Raw genomic sequence first — 9,160 nt, 5'->3', positions numbered from 1 at the left:
TTCTCTGGGAACCATGTAGGGTTAGGGTCAGATTTTGGTGAGATAAATCCTATACTGAGCCTCGTAGATAATGGGCACATAAGGGGGTCCTGGTGCGGTGGCTCACGCCTGGAATCCCAGCACTTTGGGAGGCAGAGGTGGGTCATTTGAGGTCAGGAGTTCGAGACCAGCCTGGCCAACACGGTGAAACCCTGTCTCTACTAAGAAACAAAAAACACAAAAGTTAGCCAGGCATGGTGGCGGGCGCCTGTAATCTCAGCTACTCGGGAGGCTGAGGCAGGAGTATCGCTTTAACCAGTGGACAGACAAGAGCCAAGATCGTGCCACTGCACTCCAGCCTGGGTGTTACAGAGTGAGACTCTGTCTCAAAAAAAAAAAAAAGAAAAAAAAGATAATAGGCACATAAGGATGACCAACATCGCAACACTGATTATTTCTCACTACAGAGTGCTTTGTCCCTAATAAAACAAGGGTTGTGAAGTGCCCTGTAAGGATGTGAAAAGTGACTTATAAATATTCATTTACTCTGCCTTCAAGAGAAGGGAGCCGAGGAACCTATTTTACTTCATAGATAAAATTTGTTGGGAAAAAATCTAAAAGCAGATTTTCAATTTCTGAATGTTACTAATCTCAGTAACATTATAAATGGAACTTTTTACTTTCACCTATCGATTTTCTGACTATAATTAAGTTATTTACCATTTGCATATATAGGGGGCCTGGAAAACTCTTATGATTATATGAATGTTTAATGTCTAGATATTAACATTCTACAGATGAAAAATGTCTGGAGCAAAAACCTTACCTGAACTCCAGTAGAAGGTGCTCTTCGGCTTGATGACATTCCTGTCTGAGTACAGCACCCACACTTCCAGATCTGCAGTGGAGGGAGTCAGTGAAGAGCTGACCAGCGCGGGGCTGACCTGCTCACACCGGGCACTTGCACGCACCTCCACCTTTAGACTGCTCACCATCACAGGGCCGCTTTCTGACCACTCAGGGAGAGTGAGGCGGAGACAAATCTTTACCCTGCCTGAGACCAGATTCAGTCTTCGCTCCCTGGATGCAATTGTTCTGAGGGCCACATTCCTCTGCTCACTTGTTTGATGGAGCAAGAACAGATCATCTAAGGATGCTGGAAAGGTTAAGGACCTTCCTGGAGGGCACTCGCTGTGTATCTCTGGTTAGGTTGGCGGTGACATTCACTCTGAGATGGCATGATCAGTAAACACACCACTTGGGGTGGGTGTTTTTGAGAACGTGTGTACAGCAGATTCAAATGACTGTCCTAGGCTCTGGGACCCCAAAAGCAAGTGTCCTTGAAAATGACTCAGGTGCTTAGATCTACATATGTGACACTGTGCTGAGTGTCCCTGTACAGGCCTGTACATGGCTTTAAAGTAGTACATGGCAGATGTGGCATAGAGCATACATAGATAATTAAAGCAAATGTATACTTCATGCTTCATGTCTGTATTTTTGCTTCATATTGTAGCTTGCTAAGTTGCAGTAAGAAAATACTACAGGCAGGATGTGGCGGCTCAGGCTTGTAATCCCAGCACTTTGAGAGGCGAGGTGGGTGGATCACCTGAGGTCAGGAGTTTGAGACCAGTCTGACCCATATGGTGAAACCCTATCTCTACTAAAAATACAAAAATTAGCCAGGTGTGGTGGTGAGCACCTACAGTCCCAGCCACTCAGGAGGCTGAGACAGGAGAATTGCTTGAACCCGGGAGGTGGAGGTTGCAGTGAGTCAAGACTGCACTACTGCACTCCAGCCTGGGCGACACAGTGAGACTCTGTCTCAAAAAAAAAAAAAAAAAAAGGAAATACTGCAGACAGGGAAGCTTGAACAGTATAAGTTTATTCTCAGTTTTGGAAGCTGAAAGTCTGAGATCCAGGTATGGGCCGAGTTGGTTTCTTCTGGGGCCTGTCTCCTGGGCTTGTAGATGCCACCTTCCCCAGGTGTTGTCCCTCTGTGTGTATCTGTGTCCTAATGTCCTCTTGTTTTAAAGACACCAGTCATATTACATTAGGGCCCACCCTAATGACCTCATTAAACTTTAATTACCTCCTTATTTTTATTTATTTATTTATTTTTTGAGACAGAGTCTCACTCTGTCGCCAGGCTGGAGTGCAGTGGAGCAATCTCAGCTCACTGCAACCTCCACCTCCCGGGTTCAAGCAATTCCCCTGCCTCAGCCTCCGGAGTAGCTGGGACTACAGGCACACCCCACCACGCCTGGCTAATTTTTTGTATTTTAGTAGACACGGGGTTTCACCATGTTGGTCAGGCTGGTCTCAATCTCCTGACCTCATGATCTGCCTGCCTCAGCCTCCCAAAATGCTGGGATTACAGGCGTGAGCCACCAAGCCTGGCCTTAATTACCTCTTTAAAGATCCTATCTCACATTCAGTCACACACTAAGGCACTGTGGTTGGGACATCAACCTTGGGATTTTAGGAGGCGCAACTCAGCCCATAGCAATGTTCCAGGTTTCTTTTTCTTTTTAAAACACCATTTATAAATGTAGAAATTTTTTTTGTTTGTTTGTTTTTGAGATAGAGTTTGGTCTGTCACCAAGGCTGGAGTGCAGTGGCGCAATCTCTGCTCACTGCAACCTCCACCTCCCAGGCTCAAGCAGTTCTCCTGCCTCAGCCTCTGGAGTAGCCGGGATTACGGGCGCCTGCCACCACAGCTGGCTAATTTTTGTATTTTTAGCAGAGACGAGGTTTCGCCATGTTGGCCAGGCTGGTCTCGAACTCCTGACTTCATGATCCACCCGCCTTGGCCTCCCAAAGTGCTGGGATTACAGGCGTGAGCCACTGTGCCGGGCCAAATTTAGAAAGTTCATAAGCAGATGACAGACAAGAGGAGCCTGGGGAGGAATCCTAGCCTAGCAGTCTCCATCTTAATCAGAGACAGGCTTTACCCGCAGGTATTGACTGTCTGACCATCGCAACTGTGACCAGTCAGCACCAGTGTCCCAGGCTTGTTCATATTCAGCCAGAGTACCAACAGCCAGCAGAGAATAAAGCTGACTGGCCCAGTCACGGCGCTGCTGCCAATGCTTCTGCTCCAGCCTTCGGAGTCTTCCCTTACCCCACCCCTGCCACAGAACCCTCTTAATGTTCGTACTTTTGACAAGCCCTGTCCTACTGACCCCAGACCCCAGATTGCATTGGCTCCTCAGTGCCTTCTGTACCCTGAACTCACTGCACCAGCCAGTCCACCCAGGCAAAGATGCCATACGAGGCCCTCAGCCCTAATGCCATTTGACTTTATACCCAATACTGGAGAAAGCAGACTCTTTGCTCAATGTTTAATTTCTTAGTTGGAATTTCCAAACTTTCACTCCATTGCAGCACACAGGATGGAGGGCCCAGGGTTGTGAGTGAGTTTACTCTTTTTAACCAGAGTAGTACAGGCATCAGTAGGAAAGGGAATGAGAACCCCATTGCTGGAGACATCACTTTGCCTCTGCTATTTCATTACTTTCTCTTTCTTTCTCTTTCTTTTCTTTCATTTCTTTCTTTCTCCCTCCCTCCCTCCCTGCCTCCCTCTCTCTCTCTCTCTCTTTCTTTGTCTCAAAAAAAAGTCATGTTGGCCAGGATGGTCTCAATCTCCTGACCTCGTGATCCACCTGCCTCGGTCTCCCAAACTGCCGGGATTATAGGCCTGAGCCACTGCACCTGGCCTGTTTCATTACTTTTGTTTTTATTTTTTATTTTTTTTGAGACAGAGTCTTGCTGTGTTGCCCAGGCTGGAGTGCAATGGCGCAATCAACCTTCGCCTCCCAGGTTCAAGCTATTCTCATGTCTCACCCTCCCGAGTAGCTGGGATTACAGGTGCCTGCCACCATGCCTGGCTAATTTTTGTATTTTTAGTAAAGACGGGGTTTCACCATGTTGGTCAGGTTGGCCTCGAACTCCTGAACTCAGGAGATCCACCTGCCTTGGCCTCCCAAAGTGCTGGGATTACAGGCGTGAGCCACTGCGCCTGTCCTGTTTCATTACTTTCTAAGTAAGTCACCATCAGCTTCAGCAGTCTACCATAGGTAACAAATGGCTCTTCCTGAACGCATGTTGAGGACACTTTGAGGTCTGGACCCCAGCTCCTTAATCACGTATATGGAGTGGAGGTGCGCTGTTTACTGTAGGGCCTCACCAGGCTGGCTGTGCAGAGTTTACAGACTGACTTGCATGAAAAAAATTGGAAGGCTCACCCCAGAAAGGAATGTTGGCAAGAGAAGTTATTTACTTAGAGGTTGAACTCTAGTTTGGTCTTTGGGACTTTCCATGCTATTTGAAAGAATTCTGGCATCCCAACTATGTGGCAAGGGCTGACCAGGGTGAAAAACCTGCTTCATGTCACTTTAATTTGGAGAAATGAAATTTGCTTTACTTGGAAACAGTATCCGCAATTAAGCCAAGGAGGGAGGGCGGGGGTTGGAGAAGGTTTCACAGGGATAGCAACATCCAGAACAGCACTTCTATAATCTTTGAGGTGAGATATTTAGATGCCAACAGGTCCAATACTGCAAGAACATATCATTCACTCATTTATTGGAGACAGAGTCTTGCTCTATCACTCAGGCTGGAGAGCAGTGGTGCGATCTTGGCTCACAGTAACCTCTGCCTCCCAGGCTCAAGTGAACCTCTTGTCCCAGCTTCCTGAGTAGCTTGGGCTACCGGCATGAGGATGTCTCTACATATTTTGTGGATGATGTTTCTACATTTTTTGTAGAGATGGGGTCTCACTGTATTGCCCAGGTTGGTCTTGAACTCCTGGGCTCAAACTATCTGCCCACCACAGCCTCCCAAAGTGTTGGGATTAGAGGTGTGAGCCACTGTGCCCAGTCGAATATATAATTTAAGTCATTGGCAAGTAGCATGGGTTTTTCACATCATGAAAGTAATGTAACCCCACAGTGGGAAACTAGAAAATGAAGGAAAAGTCTAAGGTGCCTTAACAATTGCCAGTAATCCTACCCCCAAGGGACAATCCTGGTTGTCACCATTAACATGTTTACTTCTTGCAAGGTTCCTTTTTTTTTTTTTCGAGACAGAGTCTCCCTCTGCCTCCAGGCTGGAGTGCAATGGCACGATCTCCATGTGTCCAGAATTTATTCTTTCTGGTGGGTTCTTGGTCTCTATGACTTCAAGAATGAAGCTGCAGACCCTTGCAGTGAGTGTTACAGCTCTTAAAGATGTGTCCGAAGTTTGTTCCTTCAGATGTTCAGATGTGTCCGGAGTTTCTTCCTTCTGGTGGGTTCGTGGTCTCACTGACCTCAGAAGTGAAGCCACGGACCTTCGCAGTGAGTGTTACAACTCTTAACGGTGGCGTGTCCAGAGTTGTTTGTTCCTCTTGGTGGGTTCGTGGTCTCACTGACTTCAGGAATGAAGCCACAGACCCTCATGGTGAGTGTTACAGCTCATAAAGGTAGTGTGGACCCAAAGAATGAACAGCAGCAAGATTTATTGTGAAGAGCAAAAGAACAAAGCTTCTACAGCCTGGAAGGGGACCTGAGCAGGTTGCTGCTGCTGGCTCTGGTGGCCAGCTTTTATTCCCTTATTTGGCCCCACCCACGTCCTGCTGATTGGTCCATTTTACGGAGCACTGATGGGTCCATTTTACAGAGCACTGGTTAGTCCATTTTACAGAGCTGTGATTGGTGCGTGTACAATCCTTTAGCTAGACACAGAGCGCTGATTGGTGCATTTTTACAGAGTGCCGATTGGTGTGTTTACAATCCTTTAGCTAGACACTGAGGGCTGATTGGTGTGTTTACAATACTTTAGCTGGACAGAAAAGTTGTCCAAGTCCCCACTCAACCCAGGAAATCCAGCTGGCTTCACCTCTCACTGGCTCACTGCAACCTCTGCCTCCTGGGTTCAAGTGATTCTCCTGCCTCAGCCTCCCGCAGGTGCACACCACCACGCCTGGCTAATTTTTGTATTTTTAGTAGAGATGGGGTTTCACCATGTTGGCCAGGATGGTCTCAATCTCCTGACCTTGTGATCTGCCTGCCTCGGCCTCCCAAAATGCTGGGATTACAGGTGTGAGCCACCATGCCCACTGCCCAAGGTTCCTTCTAAGCATGTTTTTATCTATGTAAGCATGTCTTTTCTGCATAACTTTAGATTGTTTGAGCAAAATCTTCTAAGAAAATTTTTTGAAGCCATCATTTTATTTTATTTATTTTTTCCTGAGACAGATTATCGCTCTGTCGCCCAAGCTGGAGTGCAGTGGCACGATCTCTGCTCACTGCAACCTCCCCCTCCAGGGTTCAAGAGATTCTCCTGTCTCAGCCTCCTGAGTAGCTGGGACTACAGGTGTGCACTACCATGCCCGGCTAATCTTTGTATTTTTTTTTTTTTTTTTTTTTAGTAGAGAAGGGGTTTCACCATGTTGGCCAGGCTAGTCTCGAATTCCTAACCTCAGGTGATCCGCCCACCTTGGCCTCCCAAATTGTTGTGATTACAGGCGTGAGCCACTGCTCCCGGCCTGAAGCCATCATTTTCACCTTGCCAATCCCATGCAGGTTGAGTTCAAACCTGCCCTCTTAGAGTTCCTGTTTTGCTGCCTGGGAAATGGGAACAATTATAATTCCTGTCTCAATAGGCTATGTCTTTGACTGTTTGTGCTGCTATAACAAGAAACCAGAGACTGAATAATTTATAAAGAGCAGAAATGTATTTTATCAACAGTTCTAGAGGCTGAAAAGTCCAAGATTAAGGTCGCAGCAGGTTCAGTGCCTGGGGACAGCCTGGTCTGCTCTTCCAAAATGGTGTCTTATTGCTGCATACGACCAAGGGGAGGAACATGGTGTCCTTACAAGGTGGGAGGAACCAAAGGGGCCAACCAGGGAACTTACTCCCTCCACCAGGGCTTTTCCTAAGGGCATCTAATCCCATCAGGTTGTCAGAGCCTTCATGACTCAATCACCTCCTAATTAGGCCACACCTCTTAACACTGTTGCATTGGGGATTACGTTTCAACATGAGTTTTAGAGGGGACACAACTATTCAAAACCACAGCAGGCTATTCCTTTAAAACACAGAAACTGCTCCCTGACCATAGTGTCCTCAGGAAATGTTTTCTGATTGTTATATTTCTCATAATTATAAACAATGCTGCCCTGAACATCTTTGCACCTAAACCTTGGATTGTCTCTCTGATAACCTTCTTGGAATTGAATCCTGGCTGTAGTTTTACCAGTGTCCCATAGAGAATTTAAAGTAGAAGCTGACCTCCAGCCTGACTCCTCCCAGGCAGCTTCTTTTGCAGCTTACAGAGTCCATGCCCCACTCTGACACCTCTTCTGGCCAGGGTGTAAGAATGCAGGACCTCTGCACAGGAGCAGGTGGGGGGTGTCAACTTCTAACAAGGTGAACTTTGCTTTGTCAAATGTGTGCTGAGCAGGATCTGCCATCAGTTGGGCCTGAGTTTGTCGTCAGAGGGTCTCTCCATAGTGGGAAGCTTCACGGTGTTTTTCACCAGCTGCTTCTGAATCACACAGGTGGCTCTGAATCACACAGTGTGACATGACTGATTTCGGCAGAGGTCTCAAAATGCAGCTCAGATGTCACCATCTCCATGAGGACATCCCTAAACCCCTCTCAGTGTCAGTCATTTCCTCCTCCAGGCCACCCTGCACCTCTGTTTTACCTTCCATATCACAATATGCTTCTTTCCTTATGTGGCCGTCTCCTCCCCTGGTTGATGTCTTCCCCAATGCATTGGTGTGAATCACCTTCCCCCATGAATTGGTGTGAATCACCTTCCCCCCGTGCATTGTGTTAATGTACACACTGAACAGATTTCTTAGGCAAAGCTGTGAACCCCACCATCCCAGGGACAGGCAGCATCCACATTCTATTCAATGTGAATCACTCTTCCTGGGGTTGGGCAACATAGGGTAGCACTGATTTTAGTGCTCATTAAACCATTTGTTAAACTAATGTGAAATTGCAGAGAAACCTTCTGCCCTTCACCTTGAGGGTGGAAATTAAAGTCAAGACCCACTTAAGAGGAAAGGCCCTGGTGAATTACAACCACTTCCCCTTTTTAATTTCAGTCAACACTTTTACACTGGGACCAAGGGGGCACAAAAGTAATATCCCTTTGCTGAAGGTCTGCAGGAGTTATCATTGCATCCCTCTGAAGGGGACATTCGGAAGTGTGGTTTTGAGATGTCAAAATTTAATCATTGCTAAGAGTTAATGTGGCCTCAGCAGTAAATACACAGGCCCTGCTCCAAGCTGAACCCAGGGTGAATGGTCAGAAAACAAGTCAGGAGAAAAGACACTGGTGGAGGAGGAAGGAGCTTGCTCTGACCCGGAGAAAGAACTCAGTGCCCGTCTTGGCTCAGCACCCTGTCCTGCAGCCCCAGTTTTCTCAGCTGTGAATCACGCCAATAGAACCGTAGATTAGTGGTTTTCAGACTTTTTTAAAGAGACAGTATCTCATTATGTTGCTGTAATGCAGTTGAAACGGGAAAAGTTCCCTTGTCCTCTTCACAGGGCATGTGATGGGGATGTGGCTCACTTCTTTGGTGCCCCCCTGCTCACACCTCTAGGGGAGCATACAGACAGGCAGGTTGTGGGGCTCTGATGCCATGGCAGTGTCTAGGGGTGAATGTTTACAACTTCTGAAGCCCCAGTGGGCGTGTGTTACAGGGTGATCTTTTAGTTTGCCATCCATAGGCAGCTTGTGTTAGTCAGCTCAATTAGACCGTCTACCTTGTCTCAAGGACAGAGGGCTTTCTGTATCCCTGGGTTTCTTGCCTTGGTGTACTAGAAGAATCAGATCACACATGGGCTTGCAGAATGAGTGCAAGGTTTTATTGAGTGGAAGTAGCTCTCAGCAGACAGGGGAGCCAGAGGGAAATTGTTTTCCCCTGGAGTTGGGCAGCTCGGCAGCCCAGGCTCTCCTCAGACTGCCCCAGCCAAACTCCATGTCATTACACCAGTTGATGGCCTGCGGGCATGCCGGTGCCTGTCAATGTGCTCTTCTGCCTGCGTGCTCTCGACGATCAGCCGCTTGTGTCTTCTTCCACCTATGTGTTCCTCACAATGTCCAGTCGCTTGTGTGTCTCTGCCTTGTTAAGGTCTCAGTTTTTATAGGCCCAGGATGGGGCCAGGTGGTGGTGGGCCA

At 47.5% G+C, this 9,160-nt stretch overlaps 1 annotated feature.

Moving 5' to 3' along the window:
- Nucleotides 8,225-8,314: an enhancer, noted in NCBI's record as "active region_25980". NCBI's record gives its function as "activates an Ori minimal core promoter by ATAC-STARR-seq in GM12878 lymphoblastoid cells {active_cell/tissue: GM12878}" and the evidence as "EXISTENCE:reporter gene assay evidence [ECO:0000049][PMID:35858748]".

This window comes from Homo sapiens, chromosome 7, assembly GCF_000001405.40.
Source record: "Homo sapiens chromosome 7, GRCh38.p14 Primary Assembly".
NCBI lineage: Eukaryota > Metazoa > Chordata > Mammalia > Primates > Hominidae > Homo > Homo sapiens.
This window is presented reverse-complemented; position numbering and strand designations above follow the sequence as displayed.